Consider the following 23,896-nt stretch of genomic DNA (forward strand, 5'->3'; position numbering starts at 1 on the left):
GCATGTAGGGGAGGAAAAACTTTTCTTCTGCCCTCCTAGAGTATGTGCCTAGGGTCTATAAATTAAAGTGACAAAAGACAGATTAACGGGAGAAAAAGGCATACACTTTTTTTGATACTATTTTTAATTTTACATTATCAAGGGCTTCACAACCTCCTCTTTGGGTTTTATATACCATTTTGACAAAGGACAATATATTGCGGAGAACTGCCTAGACAAAAGAAAGAGGGGTTTGGACTCCTGGGGCAGTAAATTGTAGGAAATGTATGGTAGATAAGGTTTGTTTAGTAAGATCATTTTGCAAGATCATCTCCTTGCAGTCTTCAGTGTTTAAGAGACTTCTCTTCCTGGCTCTGGAGAGAGAGGCACCTTTACAAATGGAAATTTCCTTTACAAAAGAGAAATTTATGCTCTGCTTTTAGGCAGATGGGGAAGGGCAGAGAGGTCCTTTTCTGTCTGTTCTTTCTATATAGCTTTCAGCTCAAAATAATCCTTATATCAAAGTGACATATTTTGATGTGACACAGTCCAACCTCTTCAACTACGATAGTTGGAAAAACATATTCAATTTCAATAAGAATATGAAAGGTAAATATATGTTTAAATATAGTCATGGCTAAAGGCATAAGCAGACATAGCTATATAAAGTATTTATCCCCTTAGTTACCACTGCTTTGAAGCCCAGCGAGCATACCTCTTTGTACAACATGCCCTCTTTTAATTTGTTTTGTTTGCCTGGCGAACATGTGAGGATTTTATTGATTTACAAAATAAACAACAGGGAGCTGACTGTACTTGTACAGCAATAAGGGTTGGCTTATTGGTCATTTTGAGGTCACTGGCATTGACTTCTACCTTTATTTATTTATTTTTTATTTTATTTTTTATTTTTTTGAGATGGAGTCTCACTGCACTCACCCAGGCTGGAGTGCAGTGGCGCGATCTCAGCTCACTGCAACCTCTGCCTCCTGGGTTCAGGTGATTCTCCTGCCTCAGCCTCCTGAGTAGCTGAGGCAACAGGCGTGTGCCACCACACCCGGCTAATTTTTTGTATTTTTAGTAGAGACGGGGTTTCACTGTGTTAGCCAGGAGGGTCTCGATCTCTTGACCTCATGATCCGCCCACCTCGGCCTCCCAAAGTGCTGGGATTACAGGCATGAGCCACCACACCTGGCCGACTTCTACCTTTACTTATAGCACAATGCTTATGGTGAAAGAGCCAGTGATTGACTTGTACCTACAGATCATTATATGTTTTTCTGTTTTGATTTTCTGTCTGACAGCAGCAGCGTGCAGGGTCAAAGACAGCCGGCCCCCCATGTCAGTGGTCTAGGATGGCCAGTGAAGGCACCAACATCCCAAGTCCTGTGGTGCGCCAGATTGACAAGCAGTTTCTGATTTGCAGTATATGCCTGGAACGGTACAAGAATCCCAAGGTTCTCCCCTGTCTGCACACTTTCTGCGAGAGGTAAGCCTCCTTTGTGCTTGGAGAAGGGAGTTTCGCAGGCTGACCTCCTACAACCTACTGCAGGATTCTTTCCCAGAATTCTACAGTTACCTTTGAGAGAAAACTAATCTCTTGTGCTTCTGCCAGACATTGAAAAACAGAATCATGAGTTGCAAATAATTTACTTTATTTCAAACCATTATAAGCAAGAGAAAGCAATCCAGTAACTACTGATTCGTTTACACAAGAGATGGAGCATTAAATAAGAATGTTAAGTTGAAAAATCTTTTAAAACTTCCCTTTGTTCTTTGTGAAACAATTTTTGTCCACAGCAGATCCCTACAGAGGGTCTTTCAGAGTCAATTAAAAAAATCTATCATTTCCTCCCATATAACAAATCAGGTAAAACATCTGCATACATGAGTTGTTACTTCAAAAGGTATAGCTTCTTTTTCAAAGATTCTTCAGACACATACTAATGTCACATTTGAATGCTATGATGTTTTAGATAAAGAAAAAATATATATTAAATAAATTACCTGACTATGTAATTTGCTGTATGTGAAAACAGACTTCCTTATTTATCTTCTTCATAGAGTATTTGTTTTTGGAGAGGGGCGTTAATCAGTTATCAAAATATACTTTTACCCCATTGTTTAACTTACCATGTAAGCAATTAAGCATAAGTTTGTTAGTAATTAGTTTATCTTACTTATAAATATTTCCCTAGTAAAGTTATGTATCTTTCTTAAAAATAAATATGGTAATTGTGTTTTATAGCATTTTGTTAAGTACATTTTTATCATTATTTAATATACATACTTAAAATGCTTTACTTCCTGTGATAGAACTGGAAATCAGTATTTCAAATGGCTTCAAATCTATGCTGATTACACAAATATCTGATTTAACATGTCTTTATTATCTGATTGACCATTTTTTGAGTTGATTTACTTTGCAAGGTTCAATTGCAAAAGAATAACCATATCCTTCATGGTGGTGATGGATAGAAGGAGAAGGTAGATTTGTTACTAGTAGTTGTGGCTTTTTTGTTTGTTTTGGGTTGTTGTGGGGTTTTGTGTGTGTGCGTGTGCTTGTGTATATGGGTTTTGGTTTGTTTTAGTGGTGGTATATAGGGCACTTTTTATTTTATTCATTTTATACTTTGGCTTAAGTGCTTGGTAATTCATATTACAAAATAATTAGAGTGTGATTCCTCCATCCCCTTAATGGGTGCACCTAAAACATGAATACCAGCTAATAGTCCATGTGTCCCTGGGCACACATGGGAAGATCGTTACCTGATGTGCAGCAGTCGGCATAGCTTGGCTGATACTCTCTATAGAAGTGCATTCAGAGCCACTCAGTCTGAACTTGGCAGAATTGCCCCATATCCCAGTATTCAGTGTCCAGCCTATCTATTGTTTGGGTCCTACTTCCTCACTCTGACAGGTGAGAAGCAACACTCTGGCTGCCCTAGGTCTGCCCCTGCTATCTTCTTTGGGGATCTAGCCCAACCCACTTCCACTCCCCACCCAATAGCTGGTGGTAGAGATTTGTGAGATTCTGCTACAGCAAGTCCTTACACAATGCTCTGTGTTAAAATTGTTCCAGCCTCATGCATGTTGAGATGATTTCCTCTTCTTTTTTTATTTTATTTTTAATTTTGAGATGGAGTCGCACTCTGTTGCCCAGGCTGGAGTGCAGTGGCGCAAACTCAGCTCACTGCAAGCTCTGCCTCCCGGATTCACGCCATTCTCCTGCCTCAGCCTCCTGAGTAGCTAGGACTACAGGTGCCTGCCACCACGCCCAGCTAATTTTTTGTATTTTTAGTAGAGACGAGGTTTCACTGTGTTAGCCAGAATGGTCTTGATCTCCTGACCTCATGATCTGCCCAGCTCGGCCTCCCAAAGTGCTGGGATTACAGGCGTGAGCCACTGCGCCTGGCCAGATTTCCTCTTCTTTTATTTTTTATTTTATTAATTATTTATTAATTTATTTATTTTGAGACAGGATCTCACTCTGTCACCCAGTCTAGAGTGCAGTGGCACAATCACAGTTCACTGCAGCCTCAATTTCCCAGGCTCCAGAGATCTTCCCACCTCAACTTCTTGAGTAGTTGGGACCACAGGTGCACACCACCATGCCTGACTATAGAGACAGGGTTTCTCCATGTTGCCCAGGCTGGTCTCAAACTCCTGAGCGCAAGCAATCCAACTACCTTGGCCTCCCAAAGTGTTGGGCTTACAGGCGTGAGCCACTGCGTCCAGCCGAGAAGATTTCTGTTTGAAGGTGTTGAAGGTGCTGGCAACTTTCCTTAAAATGGGGTTTTTTGTTTGTTTGTTTGTTTGTTTGTTTTTGAGACGGAGTCTTGCTCTGTCACCAGGCTGGAGTGCAGTGGCGCTATCTCGGCTCACCGCAACTTCCGCCTCCTGGGTTAAGTGATTCTCCTGCCTCAGCCTCCCGAGTAGCTGGGACTACAGGCATGCGCCACTATGCCCAGCTAATTTTTGTATTTTTAGTAGAGACGGGGTTTCGCCATGTTGGCCAGGATGGTCTCGATCTCTTGACCTCGTGATCTGCCCATGTCGGCCTCCCAAAGAGCAGGGATTACAGGCATGAGTCACTGCGCCCGGTGGGGAAATTTTTGTTTATGCAGAGACAAAACTTTACAGCTTGTCTCACTGTCAGGAGAGTGAGCTCTAGGACCCCCATGTTCAGCCTCTGCTGGACATTCATACTGGCTACTCAGTGAGCACCTTACAGTCACTCTTTTTTTTTTTTTTTTTTTTTTTGAGACAGAGTCTCGCTCTGCCGCCCGGGCTGGAGTGCCGTGGCGCGATCTCGGCTCACTGCAAGCTCCACCTCCCGGGTTCACGCCATTCTCCTGCCTCAGCCTCCCGAGTAGCTGGGACTACAGGCGCCCGCCACCACGCCCGGCTAATTTTTTTTTTTTTTTTTTTTTTTTGTATTTTTAGTAGAAACGGGGTTTCACCGTGTTAGCCAGGATGGTCTCGATCTCCTGCCCTCGTGATCCACCCGCCTTGGCCTCCCAGAGTGCTGGCATTACAGGCGTGAGCCACCACGCCCAGCCCTTACAGTCACTCTTATCCCACATCTTCCAAAACAGCATCAAAAGGCTTGAAGGAGAGCAAAGCCAGACATAGCTGCTGGCCCCTTGGAACTCACAGCCTAGTGGAGGAGCCAGTCACTAACCCCCTAATTGCTCAGACTAATGTGAAATTAAACCAGTGACAAGTGCTGTACACCAGAAGTATACAGGAAACAATATAATAGAGGAATTTGCCCTAATCTGGGAAGGCTTCCTTGCAGAAGTGATGATTACGCAGAAACCCCAATGATGAGTAAAAATTAACTAAACAAAGGGGAGTGAATAGAATTTCAGGTATGTGCAAAGGTGCTATAGTGGGAGGTTGCTATAGTGAGTGAGAGGTGCTACAGTGAGAGGGTTATTCAACACTGAGGAAGAACTTAAATAAGTCCACTGTGGCTGGTATGCAGCAAATGAGGGGAAGAGACAGAAAGTATGTAGGTGCTAGGCCATATGAGATGTGTAATCCATGTTGCCATATATGGATTTTTGTCTTTGTTGTAAGAGCAGTGGAAGTGGAAACCATGGCATGGCTTTCATCTCAGATGGTGTGGGAGGGAGATTTAAATGGCTCTCTTTGAGTTTTGAGAAGGTCACTCTGGTTGCAATGTGGATAATTGTTAGAGGGTACAAGGATGGTTATATAGCAGGGCATGAAGAGAACTGGAGAGGTTAGAAAGATATGTAGGCATTTGGACATGCTTTGGTGATGGGTTGGATATGGAAAATGAAGGACAGTAAGGGAGTTACTGTTTTAAGAATGACTCCTAGTTTCTGGTTTGTTTAAATAAATGGATGGAGGTGCTATTCATCAGGAATGGGAGAGGATACAGTCTGGGGTTCAGATAATGGGTTTGGTTTTGTTCATGTTGAGTTTTAGGACCTGCAAGACATCTAAGAAAAGATGTCAACAGGTCAGTTAATGAGGCTCAAAGGAGATGTCTGTGGGAAGAAATATAATTTTGGGAGCCTGATGCTTGTAGCCACACCTGTGATATGAATATAATATTCCAGAAAGAGAAGAGGTCTCATGATGAATGGAACCTTGATTAACTCAAAACTGTATTGACTCAGAAAAGACAGAGCAGACAGGAGAACCATGTGAGTGTGGTGTCATAAAGTCAAGGGAAGAGAAATTTTTCAATAAAAAGGAAGGTGAGCAGAGCAATAATCAAGCTTAATGATACTTCCCAGAAGTCTAGTAAGATAAAATTGAAAAACATCTGCTGGATTCAGACGTCGTTAATGACCTTAGCAAAAGCTGTTTCATGTCTGGTATTGGTTCAGGGCTAGCTACCTCTGTGACATAGACAAGATCAGTGAATGTCTCTGATGTCAGGTCTATTCATCTGCAAAATAAGGGGAATGGGGCTAGGTTGGTGTGTTTTGAATTGTTTGGCTAGGTACTGGAAAAAATTGTATAGTCTAATTATTGAGAGCTTAGATTATGGTGCCAAACTGCCTGTGTTTGAATTTGTACTTTGTACTCTGCTCCTGACCAGCTAAGTATCTTGGACAAGTACGCTGGCCTGTCTCTGTCTGTTGCATCACGTGTCTCAAGGAATCATAACAGTACCTATCTCATAGGCTCATTGGAAGTACTTTGAATTCAATGAGCAGCATATGTGTGAGTCATTATTAGTGACACACTTCTTTAACTAAATGAGTTAAGTTGATACCTGTTGAGTAGAGACAAGGAGAAGAGATGGTGTGGCTCTGACTCTGGGTGTCCCATTCTTGCTTCAAGCAAATATTTCCACTTTGATGTGTTTTTTATATCTCATTATGATTTTGTACGTAAGAAGAATTTTATTGCTAACAAAAATATTTGATGTGTTTCTTTCAATTTCAAAGTCCACACATTTATGAGCCCACTGCTAGATATTGTGGGCCAGTGCTTCTCAAACTTTAACATGTATGCAAATCACATGGGGAGCTGACTCAGCAGGTGTTCGATAGGGTCTAAGATTCTGCATTTCTACCAAATGCACCCCCCAGGGAGGCTGACGCTGCTCATCCATGGACCACACTTTGTGTGCCAAGGCACTAGAAAACACTACAAAAGTCAATGACATTTTTTATTTCCTTGAGCATAATCATTTGCCTCATTAGTGTGAGTACAGCTTACCTGTTGGTTTCTGAAATATTATTTTCCTAGTAAAGGAGACTGGGATGGGAGTTTCTGCCAAATACCTTGTGTAGTCACTGAGAACATGTATGGTACCTGTGAGAAGTGGAGGTTCTGCACTGTGCTAAGCTCTCCACCTCTGCTTCTGCAACAGGTGCCTGCAGAACTACATTCCTGCCCACAGTTTAACCCTCTCCTGCCCAGTGTGCCGCCAGACCTCCATCCTGCCCGAGAAAGGGGTGGCCGCGCTCCAGAACAATTTCTTCATCACAAACCTGATGGACGTGCTGCAGCGAACTCCAGGCAGCAACGCTGAGGAGTCTTCCATCCTGGAGACAGTCACTGCTGTGGCTGCGGGAAAGCCTCTCTCTTGCCCAAACCACGATGGGAATGTAAGTGGCTGGGATGGCAGATACTGCCCGGGAGCATGACTACTGTGGCCTTGGGGAGGCTTTGGGTACATCAGAGATTACAGATTGAAACAGAACTCCATGTGGAAAAATCAGTAATTAAAAAAGATTTTTACCAGCCCTCAGACTACCTGCTCACTTTCTTTGACCAGAACTATTTAAATAACGAAATCAATCTCCACTGTGTCTCCTTCACACATATTGTTGGTATCCCCAGGACAGCAAACCAGTAGCTATTTGCAAGCTGACCTACATAAACATCTGTGTAATAAATTTATGGATACGGATTTAACAATGGATAAGTTCTGTAAGTTGAGAATGATTATTAAAATGTTAATTAGAGTTCTTTATTTTTCTTGGGAGGGAAATTTTCTCATGCTACATTAGACCTTATTCCTTATTAATAGATAGAATTTGAAGCTATGTGAATCCCTGATAGTAGATTATAGATTATGAATTCCAAACATATTTCTTGCTACTAGTGAGTACAATAACTGTTAGAAGCTCAGGAGGACCTGTGGGTACCATCAAGTAACTGATTCACAATAGCTATGTAACCTGAAGAGGCAGCATTGTGTAGCGTCTAAGGACATTGGCTTTGGAGTCAGGCTGCCTGATTCAAATCCTGCTCTTAAACTTATTCCCTGTGCCAGCTTTGGTAAGTTTATTAAACTCTCTGCGTCTCATTTCTTTATCAGTTAAAAAAAAGTAATAATAGTATTTACCATATAGAATATTGGAAGAATTAAATGTTCAAGTCATGTAAATCATATAGTAGGATCTTGATAAATGTCAGCTTTAACATTTTTTCATTAATTACTTTATATTCATCTCATTTGTATATTGGTCACTTCAAAAGTATTTGAAACTGCTTAAAACAAAAGGCCCAGGTATAACAAAACCACTAAGACAAGCAAGCAATCATTAGAGCAAAGCAATTCTTATTAGCCACACTACTGTTTGTTTACCTCATCTCCCAGCATTCTCTCTGCACACTGTGCTGGAGCCTCACCAGCCTCCTAGAACCTGCCAAATGGTTTCCCTCCTCGGGGCCTGGCTGTTCTGTTCCTTCTGCCTGGGTTGCTCTTTGTTTCCTCTTTATGTGGCGAGCTTATTCTCTTCCTTGAAGTCTCACTGCAAATTTCTCCTGCACACAGCAGTCTTCTCCACCTGTACCGTCTAACACAGGTTGCCTCTTACAGCTGGTTACCCTCCATCATGTCCCTGCTTTCTTTCCTCCCTGGTGCTCACTGTGGTCTGCTTGCCATCAGCTGTGTATTTGTGTACTTATTAGTCCTGGCTTTCCCTCTAGAATGTGAGCTCTGGGAGGGCAAGGACCTGTCATTAGACCCCTAGCACTGAGGGCAGTGTCTTATACATAGAAGTCAATAAATATTTGTTGAACAAATTTGCCAGACACCGTATTTGGCTCCTTAAACCCCCCTCTGCAAAGTAGTTGTTGGTTACTTTCACTTTATAAGATGAAGAAACTGAGGCTGAAACAGTTTAAGTCACAAAGCTTGCTGGGCACATTGTAAAAGCTAGCCCTGGAAGAAATAGCATCCTGAGCTTTCTGGTAGCCAAAACAAGAGAAGGACACCATGGCTTACACATCTGTAATAATTTAATTGAAAGCACACCAGGCTATTAATAGCTATCAGTTTTCCATGCATTTTATGCCAAGGGAAATTGATCATCTAAATTTTGTAAAAAGAACTTTTAAATGCTGCTTTTGAAAGCAGGTTGAGTATTTTCCTCATGACCACTTCTCACACTGGTGCTTAGTGAATGCTGAGGCTGTCTATGCCTGGAGCTTGCACTCTAAATACTAGTTATGGGAAGGTATTTCTATCAGGTGTAAGAGTGCCCCTTAAAATGAGGCTCTCTGGAGACGTGACTTGATAGAGGAGTAAAGTCTTAGAAACATTAGGTTGTTTTATTTTTTATGGGTTTTTTAGTTTTTGTTTTTGTTTCTGAGACAGAGTCTCAATCTGTCATCCAGGCTGGAGTGCAGTGGCACGATCATGGCTCACTGAAGCCTCGACCTCCTGGCTTAAGCGATCTTTCCACCTCAGTCCTGTCCTCTGCCCCAGTATCTGGGACTACAGGTGCATGCCACCACGCCCAGCTAATTTTTGTATTTTCTGTAGAGACAGGGTCTCACTATGTTGCCAAGACTGGTCTCAAACTCCTGGTCCCAAGTGATTCACCTGCCTTGGCCTCCCAAAGTGCTGAAATTACAGGTATGCGCCACTGTGCCCAGCCAAGCTAATATTTCTAACTGTCATTATTTCTCATTCTACATGACAGCCCCTTCATATCCCAAATTTACACCAGTGTCTATAGTAGGTCTCCTAATGTTTCTAAGGGCCAGACATGGTGGCTCATGCCTGTAATCCCAGCACTTTGGGAGGCTGAGGCAAGCCAATCGCTTGAGCCCAGGAGTTTGAGACCTGACTGGGCAACATGGCGAAATCCCACCTCTACCAAAAATACAAAAATCAGCTGGGCATGATGGGGCTGCACCTGTAGTCCCAGCTGTTCAGAGGCTGAGGTAGGAGGATCCTGTGGGTCCAGACATTGAGGCTTCAGTGAGCCATGATTGCGCCTCTGCGCTCCAACCCAGGTGACAGAGCAAGACTCTATCTCAAAAAAAAAAAAAAAAATTAAGAAAAAAAAAATAAATGTTACCTCCATAAGTAAAGTGAGAATGTCATGAAATTCAGGCAACAGCTTATAGCTCAAGGAAGCGGCTAGAACATGGAGACAGCGGAGTTGAGGGTGGGACACAGGTGGGCCTGAAAAGATAGATGTGGAGAGATTGGGATGAGCTGTGAATATCATTAAGAACATGTTTGACGTCAATTTCTTAAATTGCAAAAGCATCAAAGCCTTCTGAACAGGAGATAGGTATTTTATTGACATTTTGGAGGAATGGGGTGGCAGACACTAAAGGCTGGGAAACCAATTATGAGTTTACTGAATTGTCCAAATGAGAGATAAGAGATGGAACTAGAATGGCATCAATGGGCCTGGGGAAGACAGCGTGAATTTCAGAGAAAAGAGTACTCTTTGACTCAACAATCTGCCTCCCACAAATAAAAAGGCCTGTGCTAAAGTCTGTTAAGCTAAGCTATTAGATCGTGAGAACTTCAGCAACTAAAATTAATCTTATACTAGGTCACAAAGAAAATACCACTATATTTTCCCATTGTGTAAAGCAAGTTCCTGCCCTACAATGCACTAAAATTACATTAGTAACACATGTTTATGGGGAAAAAACAAATCTCCTTTAAAAGTTAATAATTATTTAATCAATAGAAAATAATAGAAATAATAGAAAATTGGACTATTTACAAAGTATTGGAAGTGGAAACTTTTTATATCCAATGTGTAGGGTCAAATCTCTACCCAGGAAATTTTATAGGTTTAAGTATTTTCCTTTATTTAAAAAGAATTCCAGCCTGGGCAACATAGTGAGTCCTCATCTCTACAAAAAAATCAAAACATGAGGCCGAGCACAGTGGCTCATACCTATAATCTCAGCACTTTGGGAGGCCGAGACAGGTGGATCACCTGAGGTCAGGAGTTCGAGACCAGCCTGGCCAACATGGTAAAACTCTGTCTCTATTAAAAATACAAAAATTAGCTGGGCATGGTGGCACATGACTGTAGTCGCAGCTACTCAGGAGGCTGAGGCAGGAGAATTATTTGAACCTGGGAAGCAGAGATTGCAATGAGCCAAGATTGTGCCACTGCACTCCAGCTTGGGCAACAGAGTGAGACTCTGTCTCAAAAAAAAAAAAAAAAAGCAGGGGGGGATAGTGGAGCAAGAGGATTGCTTGAGCCCAGAAGGTTGAGGCAGCAATGAGCTGTGATCGTGCCAAAGTACTCCTGCTTGGGTGATAAAGCGAGACCCTGCCCCTACCCCCACCCACCCCCCAAAAAAAGAATTCAACTCAAGTTAGAAAAAGAGTAATAAAATAAACATATGGAACATACACAAAGAAAGAAAAGAACAGAAATATCTACACATAGTATAGTAAGTTTATTAAATACATAGTATATATATTTCTGCATTGTAGGAAAAGCTAGAAAGGTCTCCCATTTCATTTGTGATACGCTTATAACCCTGATACCAAAACCTAATGAAGATAGAACAAAAAGAAAATCATTAGTAGCTTAATTAATGACATTGGCTGTAAAATTATTAATTAAAATACCCCAGCAAATTCCTTTTTTTTTTTTTTTTGCTGGGTCTCACTCTGTCACCAAGGCTAGAGTGCAAGTGGCACTATCTATCATGGTTCACTGTAACCTCCAACTCCAGGGCTCAAGTGATACCCCTGTCTCAGCCTCCAGAGTAGCTGGGACTACAGGAACATGCTACCATGCCTGGCTAATTCTTTAAGTTTTTGTTGAGAAAAGGTCTTATGTTGCCCAGGCTGGTTGCAAACTGGCCTCAAGGGATCCTCCCATCTGGACCTCCCAAAGTGCTAGGATTACAGGCATGAGCCACTATGTCCAGCCCACCAGCAAATTCTTTTTTTTTTTGAGACGGAGTCTCGCTCTGTTGCCCAGGCTGGAGTGCAGCGGCACGATCTTGGCTGACTACAAGCTCTGCCTCCCGGGTTCACACCATTCTCCTGCCTCAGCCGCCCGAGTAGCTGGGACTACAGATGCCCGCCACCAAACTTGGCTAATTTTTTGTGTTTTTAGTAGAGATGGGGTTTCACCATGTTAGCCAGGATGGTCTCGATCTCCTGACCTCGTGATCTGCCCGCCTCGGCCTCCCAAAGTGCTGGGATTACAGGTGTGAGCCACCGCGCCCAGCCTGCAAATTCTTAATATGTAAAAGCACTTACAAATTAAGAAAAATATGAGCATCATAAAAGAAAATGAGCAAATAACTCAGAAAATCCACAGAGGATATATAAATGCCTAAAAATCATTTATGGAAAAATGTCAAGCTTCACAGATAATCAGTTCTTTTCAAATTAACTACAAATTTTTTAAAAGGTAGTAACCAGCGCTCTTGAGAGTATGTATGGTGAGACATTTTCATATGCTGTGGGTGGAAGGGTAAATTGCTCTTCAGAAAGTTTACGTCAATTTGACAAAATATAATGAGTGTTTTATACAGCCTCTCATCTTTTAATCCAGTAATTCCACCAGTGGAAATATTTCTAAGGAAATAGCTAGAGCGGAAGATAAAGCTCAAAAATTGGAAATAATCTAAATGTGCAACATTAGGGGGCAAGAATGCTTGGCAAATTAGCAGCATGTGCCTTAAATCATTCTATTGTTTGATTATAGATTGTAGAAGTTCACTGCTGCTGTTTTGAAACAGAAGTCTTCATTGCATATTCAAGCCAAATTCATGCAATGTTCCAGATAAATTGCTGCAGTTAGTTGCTGTGAGTAGATCTTTAAAAACAATCCAAGCATCTGAAGGTTAATAAAATCAATTCATTAACAATAAAGCAGGGTGCTGCCATCCCCACTGTCTGATGCTGATTGGCACGTGTGGATGAAAGCCTGTCATCAACTTTAAGTGCTGTGACACTATCTGTCTTCTAATTAAACTGCCATGGTGGCATTGTTCAAATACAAAAGAAAAAGAAAAATAATGGTCAGTGATCTAACAGGTTCTTTGCACTTAAAGCAGACACTTGAGCTCATGCCTCATGGTCCCTGGAACACAAATGATCATTAAACCCTGTTATTGGTTGCTTAGGCACCTGACTATCAAGGGTGTCAAAGGTGCAAAGGAGAGGTCCTCATTAAGACTGCCCTGCCACTAACAAGTTTCCACTTCCATATCAGGATCAACTGTCAGTGCCCTTAAGAAGCCAAGCCTCAGGGTTGGCTGCAAGACCTTGACCATCTTTTTTGCATGTTAGGAATGCATAGGATCCTGCCAGTCTCTTCTGGTGAACATAAATGGTGACTATCCATCAACAACAAGCTCATCCTAGCTTTTGGCCTGCCCACCCACCCCAGGCCGCACCAGCATCATCTCACTGGAGATGGATGAAATGGATGAGCTCAGCAGAATTACACGCCCCACACAATTAGCTCTCAGCTTAAACCAAAGCTGTCAGAACCGAAGCACGAGCCTTTGAAAATGACTAGCTATTGATAATTCAAAATCATTTCAGGGCCTTGGCTTCCCAAGACACACTTAAGATATTGAACTAGGAATAATAAGCCAGGTCTGCTGCTGTCTCTTCAAAGCTGAGATCAATTTTTGTTTGTTTGTTTCTGAAGTAAAATTCAGGCTGGGCTTGGTGGCTCACTTTGGGAGGCCAAGGCAGGAGGATCACTTGAGGCCAGGAGTTTGAGACATGCCTGAGCAACAAAGTGAGACCCTTTCTCTACAAAAGTAAATAAATACATAAATACAAGATAAAAAATAAAATTCACATCACATAAAATTTAATATTTCAACAATTTTATTTGTTTGTTTGTTTTTTTGTTTTGAGACAGGATCTCACTCTGTCACCCAGGCTAGTCTCAAATTCCTGGGCTTAAGCAATCTGCCTGCCTCAACTTCCCAGAGTGCTGGGATTACAGGTGTTAAGGCACCGAGCCTGGCCTGTTTTTTTTGTTTTTCTTTTTATAATGATGTTTTTTATTTTTAATTTTTTTTTTGGAGACAAAAAAGTCTCACTCTGTCACCCAGGCTGGAGTGCAGTGGCATGATCATGGCTCATGGCAGCCTCAATCTCCTAGGCTCAAGTGATCCTCCCACTTCAGCCTCCCGAGTAACTGGGACTATAGGCGCATGCCACCAACCTAGCTAATTTTTTTTTTAAGAGATAGGTTTTGCTATGTTGCCCAGGCTGGTCTCCAACTCCTAGGCTCAAAGGATCCTCCTGCCTGGACCTCCCAAAGTGCTGGGATTACAGGAGTGAGCCACTGCACCAGGTCTCAACCATTTGGAAAAGCACAACTAATGTGGTTTTTAGTATAGTCACAAAGTTGAGCAAACATCACCACTGTCTAAATTTCAGAACGTATTCATCACCCCAAAAAGAAACTCCATGCCCTTTAAGCAGTCACCTCCTACTCCCTCCTCCCACTAATCCCTGGCAACCATCAGCCTGCATTCTGTCTCTGGATTTGCCACTTACGGACATTTGATATAAATGGAATCATACAATATGTGAGTTTTAGAGTCTGGCTTCCATCAATTAGCATGTTTTCAAGGTTCATCCATGTTATGGTATATTAGTACTCTTTTTAATGGCTAAATAATATTCCATTATATAGATATACCACAATTTATCGATTCATTCATCAGTTGATGGACATTTGAGTTGTTTCCACTTTTTGGCTGTTATGAATAATGCTGCTGTGAACATTCATGTACATGTTTTTGTGTAGACATATGCTTTCAGTTGTCCTGGGTATGTACCTAAAAGTGGAATTGCTAGACCATATGATAATTCCATGTTTAACTTTTTAAGGAACCGTCAACTGTTTTTTTTCTTTTTTTTTTTTTTTGAGACAGAGTTGCTCTTTTGCCAGGCTGGAGTGCAGTGGCGGAAACTTGGCTCACTGCAACTTCTGCCTCCCAGGTTCAAGCAATTCCCTTGCCTCAGCCTCCCAAGTAGCTGGGACTACAGGTGCATGCCACCACGCCCCGTGAATTTTTTGTATTTTTAGTAGAGACGGGGTTTCATCATCTTGGCCAGGATGGCCTTGATCTTTTTTTTTTTTTTTTTTTTTTTTTTTGAGACAGAGACTTGCTCTGCTGCCCAGGCTGGAATGCAGTGGTGCAATCTCAGCTCACTGCAGCCTCTCCTCCTGGGTTCAAGCAATTCTCCTGCCTCAGCCTCCTGAGTAGCTGGGATTACAGGTGCATGTCACCATGCCCAGCTAATTTTTGTATTTTTTTTTTTTTAAGTAGAGATGGGGTTTCACCATGTTGGCCAGGCAGGTCTCAAACTCCTGACCTCAGGTGATCCGCCCACTTCGGCCTCCCAAAGTGCTGGGATTACAGGCATAAGCCATTGCGCCTGGCCTGGTTTTTTTTGTTTTGTTTTTTGTTTTTTGGTTTTTTTTTAGACAGAGTCTCACTCTGTTGCCCAGGCTGGAGTGCAGTGACGTGATCTTGGTTTACTCCAACCTCTGCCTCCTGGGTTCGAGTGATTCTCCTGCCTCAGCCTCCTGAGTAGCTGGCATTACAGGCGCCCACCACCATGCCTGGCTAATTTTTTTGTATTTTTAGTAGAGATGGGGTTTCCGCTGTGTTGGCCAGGCTGGTCTTGAATTCCTGGCCTCAAGTGATCTGCCAGCCTTGGCCTCCCAAAGTGCTGGGATTACAGGCATGAGCCACCATGCCTGGCCTGGAACCACCAACTGTTTTCACAGTGGCTGCACCAGTTTACATTTCCACTAGCAAAGCATAAGGGTTCTAATTTCTCAGCATCTTTACCAACCCTTATTATTATTTGACTTTTTCATCCTGACTTTTGATTCTAGTGAGTATGCAGTGATATCTTGTTGCGGTTTTGATTTGCATTTGCCAAATGATTAACAATGTGGATCATATTTTCATGTGCTAATTGACCATTTGTATATCTTCTTTGGAGAAAGTCTATTCAAGTTCTTTGCCCGTTTTTGAATTGCGTTGTTTATCTTTTTGTTGTTGAGTTGTAGAATTTTTAATATGTTCTGGATTATTATACCCTTATCAGATATATGACTAGCCATATTTTCTCCCATTTTGTGGGGTTTCTTTTCACTTTCTTATTAGTGTCCTTTGATTCAAAAATACTTTTAATTTAATGAAGCCTAATTTCTCTATTTTTTTCTTTTGTTGCTTGTGCTTTTGGTGTCATAGCTTAGAATCCATTGCTGATTCAAGGTCATGAAAATTCACCCCTGTTTCCTTCTAAGATTTTTATAGTTTTAGCTTACATTTAGGTCTTTTATGTATCTTGAGTTAATTTTTGTATGTGGTTTGAAGGAAGGGTTAAATTTCATTCTTGTACATGTGAATTTCTAGTTACCTCAGCATAATATGTTGAAAAGGCAATTTTTCCCATTGAGCTGTGTTGACACCCTTGTCAAGAATCAATTGACCATGGATGTATGGGCTTCTTTCTGTACTTTCCATCTTATTCCATTGATCTATATGCCTATTCTCATGCCAGTACTACATTGTTTTGATTACTGTAGCATTATAGTCAGTTTTGAAATTGGTAACTATGAGTCCTCCAATTTTGTTCTTTTTCAAGATTGTTTTGGCTATTTAGTAGTTTTCAGTATTCAAGTCTTGCACTTCCTTGGTTCAATTTATTCCCAACTATGTTATATTCTTTTTGATAATATTGTAAATGGATTTTTTTAAAAAAATAGAGATAGGTCTCACTATTTTGGCCAGCCTGGTCTTGGGGCAAGCAATCCTCCTGCCTCAGCCTCCCAAAGTCCTGGGATTACAGGCATGAGCCACCATGCCTAGCTGGGAATTGTTTTCTTAATTTCACTTTTGGATTATTCATTGTTAGTGTTTAGAGATACAACTGATTTTTGTTTGTTAATCTTGTATCCTGCAACTTTGCTGAATTCATTTATTAGCTCTAATTGTGTGAATGTGTGTGCGTGTGTGTGTGTGTGTGTGTATTCTTTAGGATTTTCTGTATATAAGATCATGTCATCTCTGTATAGAGAAATTCTTAATTCTTCCTTTCCAATTTGGATGCATTTTATTTCTTTTTCTTGCCTAAATGCCCTGGTCAGCACCTTCAGTACACCGTTGACTAGAAGTGATAAGAGTGAATATCCTCTTGTTCTTGATTAAGTATGATGTTAGCTGTGGGTTTTTTGTAGATGCTCTTTATTAGGAGGAGGAAGTTCCCTTCTGTTTCTAGTTTGGCATGAAAAGATATTGGATTTTGTTAAATGCTTTTCCCACATTAATTCAGATGATAATGAGTTTTTTCTTTCATTCTATTAATGTGATGTATTACATACAGTAATTTGTCTAGGTAAGCCACCCTTGCATTCCTGGGATAAATCCCACCTGCTCATGATATATAATCTCTTTAATATACAGCTGGATTCAGTTTGCTAGCATTTTATTAAGAATTTTTTCATCCATATTTATAAGGGTTATTGGTCTGTAATTTTCTTGTGGTATCTTTGGCTTTGGTATCAGGGAAATACTGGCCTAATAGAATGAGTTAGGAAGTATTACCCCTCAATCTCTTCTATTTTTTTTTAAGAGTTTAAGGAAGATTGGTGTTAGTTCTTCTTAAAATATTTGGTTGAATTCACCAGTGAAGCCATCTGGTCCTGGGCTTTTCTGTGTTGGAAGTTTCCTGATTATTGATTCAATCTCCTTACATATTACAGGTCTATTCAGACTTTGTATTTCTTCATGTCAGTTTTGATAGTTTGTGTGTTTTTAGGAATTTGTCCATTTCATCTAAGTTATTCAATGTGTTAGCATAAAACTATCCACAGTATTCTGTTATAATCCTTTTTATTTCTATGATGTCAGTAGTAATTTCCCCACCACTTTCCTTCCTGATTTTTGTAATTTGAGTCTTCTTTCTCTCTTCTCCCACACCACCCCTGCCACACACACACACCCACCACCCCGCACCCCCCCACCATCTCACTCTCTCTCTCTCTCTGGTCAGTCTAACTAAAGTTTTATCAATTTTATAATATCCTTTCTGTCAATTATATACTATCCAACTTTTGTCTTAAGTCTATTTTTTCTGATATTAGAATAGCCACTCTAGCTCCCTTTTGGTTACAGTTTGCATGAAATATTTTTTTCATTCTTTCACTTTCTTTTTTTTCTTTTCCTTTTTCTCTCTCTCTTTTTTTAAGAGATGGTCTTGCTCTGTTTCCCAGGCTGGAGTACAGTGGCATGATCATAGCTCACTGCAGCCTCATAATCTTGGGTTCAATTGATATTCCTGCCTCAGCCTCCTGAAGGCCAGGACTACAGGCACACGCCACTATGCTCAGCTAATTTTTGTATTTTTTTAATAGACAGGGTCTCTCACTATGTTTTTCAAGCTGGTCTTGACCTCCTGGACTCAAGCAATCCTCCTGCCTCTGTCTCCCAAAGTACTGGGATTACAGGCATGAGCCACCATATCTGGGCCATCCTGTCACTTTCAACCTATTTGAGTCTCTGAATCTAAAATTAGTCTCTTATAGAGAGCATATAGTTGGATTATGTTTTCAATCCAATCTGCCAGTATCAGCCCTTTGATTGGAGAGTTTAATCCATTTAAATTAATTAACTTAATTACTGAAAAGAAAGGCTTTCTTTCCTTTTGCCATTTACTATTCTTTTTCTGTATGGCATATCTTTTTGTTCCTCTATTCCTCCATTACTGCCTTCTTTTATGTTTAATAGATATTTTCTAGTGAACCATTTTGATTCCCTTCTCATTTCTTTTACTATACATATTTTTATTTTTCTTTATTGTTTGCCCTGAGGGTTATAATTAACATTTTAGCTTATAATGATTTAATTCAAATTAATACCAACATAATTTCAATAGTATGTAAAATCCTTGCTTCTTTTAGCTTGTATTTATATGTTGTATGCTCAGCTACATAGGTTTGTAATTATAGATTATGCTGTTTTATGCAGTTTTATTTTATGTCATGTAGGAGTTAGAAAACTAAAATACATTAATACTGACCTTTATATTTATCTGTGTAGTTACCTTTACCTGCTTTCCTTGTTTTTTTCATGTGGACCCAGGTTACTTTGTAGTGTATCAAATCAGGTCAGCTTGCAGGAATCCCTTTGGCATGACTTGTAGGGAAGGTATACTAGCAACAGACACTCAGTTTTTGTATTTCTGGTAATGTGTTAATTTTTCCTTCATGTTTGAAGGATAGTTTTGCCAGATAAAAAATTATTAGTTGTCAGGTTTATTTTTTTTTCAGCAGTTTGAATATATTACCCCATTGATTTCTGGCCTCTATAGTTTCTGATGAGATATCTGCTATTAAAAAATCTGCAGCCGGGCATGGTGGCTCGCACCTGTAATCCCAATAATTTGGGAGGCTGAGGCAGGCGGATCACCTGAGGTCAGGAGTTTGAGACCAGCCTGGCCAACATGGTGAAACCTTGTCTCTACTAAAAATACAAAAATTAGCCAGGGATGGTGGCGCGCACCTGTAATCCCAGCTACTCAGGAGGCTGAGACAGGAGAATCGCTTGAACTTGGGAGCCAGAGGTTGCAGTGAGCCAAGATTGAGCCACTGCACTCCAGCCTGGGTGACAGAGTGAGACTCATCTTAGAAAAAAGAAAAAAAATCTGCTTATGGAATATTTCTTATACAAGATGAGTCACCTCTGTCTTGCTGCTTTCAAGATTCTCTCTTTGTTTTTGTCTTTTTATGGTTTGGTTATACTGTTTCCTGGTTTGGATGTCTTTGAGTTTCCTGTTTGGAGTTTATTAAGTTTTTTGGATGTGTAGATTTGTGTCTTTTATCAAATTTGGGAAGTTTCCAGCCATTACTTTTGCAAATATCGGTTCTTTCCCTTTCTCTCTTCCTCTCCTCTGGGACTCTCATTAGGTATATTTGGTACACTTGATGGTGTCCCACGGGCCTCTTAGGTTTTGTTACTTTTTCTTCCTTTTTTTTTTTTCCTGCCTCACAGACTGTATAATCTCAATAGGCCCATCTTCAAGTTAACCTTCTTCTTCCTGCTTGAATTTTCTGTGGAACTTTTCTAGTGAATTTTTCATTGCAGTTATATTTTTTAACCCTACAATATTTCTATTTGGCTTTTAAAAAATAATTCTTATCTCTCTATTAATATTCTCCATTTAGTGAGACATTGTTCTCATAGTTTTTTATATATGGTTTCCATTAGCTCTGTGAGCATATATGAAAGAGTTAAAGTCAAGTAAGTCCAATCTGGGCTTCTTTAGGGAGAGTGCCTATAAATTTCTTTTATTCCTCTTTGTGAACTTTGTCCTTTTTTGTGTGCTTCACTTTTTTCCATTGGAAACTGAACATTTAAAGTACTATATTGTGGCAACTCTGGAAATCAGAGTCTCCCCTCTCCCTAGGGTTTTTTGTTGATGATTATTATAGTTTTTTGCTGTTGTTGTTTGGTGACTTTTCTAAACTAATTATTTTATATTTTTTTCGTTCCCCACTTTTATTATCCAATGCAACTAATTTTGTAAAGTTTGTATGTTTTGTCATATGTGGCTAATGAAGTCTGTTCCAGTAGATTAGCTACCAACCAGTGACCTGACATAGATTTTCTTATGCTGCTGTTTTCAGTAACATCACTTCCCTGTAATCATTTAAAAATATGAATTAAAAAGAAGGATAATAATAGTAATGGATGCTGATCTTTTTTCATACATGATGAACTCTGGTCTTGAGGATTTTTTACATTTTTCGCGACTCTATATTATTTTGCATCCTTTTCTGTCTTCCAATGAGTATTCTTTGTCATCTCGTTTCTTATACTGCTGGGGAACTTCAACTCAGACCACAAAATGCAACAAATATGATATAGTATTTGCAACTTCTAAATGCAATGTGCACACTGATTCCCAAGTAAAATTTGCCATTGATCTAGACCCATTCTAGACATGAGGCCATGCTCCCTTCTTCCAGTGAAGATGTGGGAACTCAGTCCCAGGCTAGATTGGTTTGGGAAGAGTGCCATTGGATTGACTAAGCACTGTTAATGTGGCATATTCCCTCAGTCCATACACTTATATTTGCCCCAACACCCGAAATAACCTGAGGGAAGAAGTCTTTTCACATTCTGTTTTTGGGCTGTCCTCTGGTACATGTGACTGGCAGTGACAACCTGCTTTAAAGAGACCTCCTGAGCACTGACCATGAAGATGAAATATTAGTAAATGCTATTCTAGTTATATATAATCTAGAAATAAAATGTCTGGTAAAAGTAAACCACCTCTGGCTGAAGCCATGAAGTAATAAAGAAGCTCAGCCTTGATAGGAATTATGTTTCACAAACCCCAGGGGATGAAATTTTTCCAAAGAAATCTCAGAATTTAGTGGGGAATGCTCATTTATCCTGCCTTCTGCCAGCCCTTTGAAAAACAGGAAACTTCTTGGATTAAGAATTTTTTTCTAATAACAAGTAAAATATTTATGATATGAGGCTTATATATTGTTACCAAGCATTTGCTGACACTGCGTATAGTTTTAGATCGTTCTATTTCCTGAACACATGAAGGAAAGCAATATGGTAAAATACACAAATGCAACCCAAAGTATAGTCTTCCCTCACTGGGGAAATCCCTTGGAAGTACCCCTTAGCTCATATTGCCCCTCAGCGAATAATTATTGAACAGCTTCTATAAGCTGTGCTTTCTGCTGGATTGTATCAGACTTGTACCAAAATAAGGTGCAAATGACCAGTATTATAGTCTTTCTGTGGGATATTTGAATTTTCATTTGAGTTTATTAAAACATATTTTAATGAGAAGTGTGAATACTTTTTTGCTTTTTGAAATAGGATCTTGCTCCGATACCCAGGCTGGAGTGCAGTGGCACAATCATGGCTCACTGCAACCTCGAACTCCGAAGCTCAAGCAATCCTCCCACCTCAGCCTCCCAAGTAGCTGGGACTACAGGCATGTGCCACCACGTCCAGTTAATTTTTTAAATTTTTTTCTAGAGACAGAGCTTTGCTGTGGTTCCCCGGCTGGTCTCAAACCCCTGGCCTCAAGTGATCCTCCCACCTTGGCCTTCCAAAGTGCTGGGATTACAGGTGTGAGCCACTGCACCCAGCTGAGAAATGTTTTTGAGCAGAGAATGCATACAAGAAATTTCCAGTTAATGTTTCAAGCCTATTCCTAAAAGGCCTGCAGAGGAGCAAAGTACATGAAATTACAGCCTTATATGACAAAAAAAAAAGTGTCTTTATATGACAAAAAAAAAGTGTCTTTCTAAACCTCTTACTATGTACCTACTTGAAACTATGATAAATATGAAATTTAAAATTATCTTGGACATGGTTTGAATGACTTTTATCTGAATTTGGTTCACCAGAAAAGGTTTTTTCCAAAACACATGTAGTATGAGCAAGCTGAGTGCTTTATTCCTAGGAGAATCTTCTCCAGAAAGCACTATGTAACATAGTGAGTCTTAATGAGGAAGGAGGTGTCCCTTGGTTGGTCTTACACATGCCACCCGAATCATGGCTAAGAGCCTCCTCTCATTTATTCATTCAGTAGTGTTATTGAATACCTACTAAATGTATGGTATTATCTAGGCTCTGGGTGGGAGAGTTCCTGGGCTTAGGAATTTAAAATCTTTTATTTCATAAATTGGGTATAAATAAAAGTGATTTGGTGACTGCCTTCACTTTGTGAAAATCCATCAAGCTGCATTAAGATTTATGCCCTTTTCTGTATTGTGTTATATGTCAAGAAAAAGTTCCTCCTAAAAGTGCTTTGGGAATTGAAAACTGGAAGACATTATTTCCAGCTGAGAAAACAAGGTAATACCTCTGCAAGGAAGCTAATTTTCTGGCTTTATATTATATTGTTACTGAAAGTTCGTCATTGTCAGGGTCATATTTTTTTATTTTCAGGTAAGCAGATGATGTCATCATCATCATCATCATCATCCCCACAGCAGCTACTACATATTAAGAACTTATTATGTACCAAAGCCAGGTGCCATCTGAGTTCTTCGTGCATACTAACCTACTTATTCTTCATAGTAGCCCTGTGAAGTAGGTTACTGTTACTATCTCCATTTGACAGAGACAGAAGTTGTGACACAGTGAGGCTGAAAATTTGTCCAAGGTCATTCAGCTAAATAAGTGGTGAAGCCAGGAGACAAACTGCTCAGTCCAGACTTCTTATTTGGATAAGTCTCTTAGCCAAACAGTAGCAGTTCTCAAAGTGTGGTCCAGGAACCCTTGTGGGTCCCAAGACGTTTTCAAGCAGTCTTCAAGGTCAATACTATATTCATAATCATATGAAGACATTATTTGCTTTTTTCACTCTCGTTCTCTCAAGAGTGCACAGTGGAATTTTCCACAGGCTATGTGATGTATGCTATCACAATGGACTCAATGCAGAAGTGGATACAAGTCTCCAGCCATCTTCTGTTAAGCCAGACGCTGCAGATATTTACAAAAATGGAAAACAATACCATTTTTCCCACAAATTTTTTTGTTTTTCACAATATATTTATTTTCATAAATTACATTATTCACATTAACATTTAATGGGCTTATTACTGCTTTTAATAAATTAAATACTTTAAAATTTTTATCCGTTCTAATTTTTAAAAATTTGATTAAATACTAATTTTAAAATTTTTTGTAGAGACAGAGTCTCGCTATGTTTCCCAGGCTGGTCTTAACTCCTGGCCTCGAGTAATCCTCCAGCCTTGGCCTCCCAAAGTGCTGGGATTATAGGCATACGCCACTGCACCCAGCCTAGTTTCAATTTTTAATATAAGAAATATCTATAAATATAACCCACATACACGAAAGCTCTTTTGGAGTCCTCAATAATTTTTAAAGATTATAACGGGGTCCTGATATAAAAATGTTTGAGCACCACAGCCCTATACTGTACTGCCTTGGGGCAGTGGATACCCAAAAGCTGGTTTTATGGTTATAGAAGCAGCTTAGAAGTCAGCTCCATTTCTGAGACCTGTCACATAAAAATGTGTCCTTCCTTTTCTCCTGTGAAGCTGGACTTAATAATGCTGACATTCTGGGGTGGCTCTCATTTAATTATGAGAGACTGCAAGGCAAGTGCTTAGTGTAGAGTAAGCCCTCAACCCATGGC

General features: G+C 40.2%; 1 protein-coding gene across 36 annotated transcripts in view; it reads left to right on the top strand.

Annotated features, from left to right (window-relative positions):
• The window catches only part of TRIM2 (tripartite motif containing 2), a 187,155-nt gene that overhangs the window by 116,889 nt on the left and 46,370 nt on the right, over positions 1-23,896 (top strand). For 15 of the 36 annotated variants that reach the window (NM_001375517.1, NM_001375514.1, NM_001351056.2 and 12 more), the window contains 2 exons: positions 1,287-1,468; positions 6,842-7,079. In NM_001375517.1, coding sequence (NP_001362446.1) covers positions 1,335-1,468; positions 6,842-7,079 — 372 coding nt within the window. In that variant the 5' untranslated portion in view covers positions 1,287-1,334. Of the gene's footprint in view, positions 1-1,283; positions 1,469-6,841; positions 7,218-12,413; positions 12,515-17,407; positions 22,588-23,896 lie in introns of those variants that run through there. The other 21 variants (XM_011531796.4, NM_001438045.1, NM_001375515.1 and 18 more) reach the window with 11 other exon arrangements.

The sequence above is a fragment of the Homo sapiens genome, chromosome 4 (genome assembly GCF_000001405.40).
Source record: "Homo sapiens chromosome 4, GRCh38.p14 Primary Assembly".
Lineage (NCBI taxonomy): Eukaryota > Metazoa > Chordata > Mammalia > Primates > Hominidae > Homo > Homo sapiens.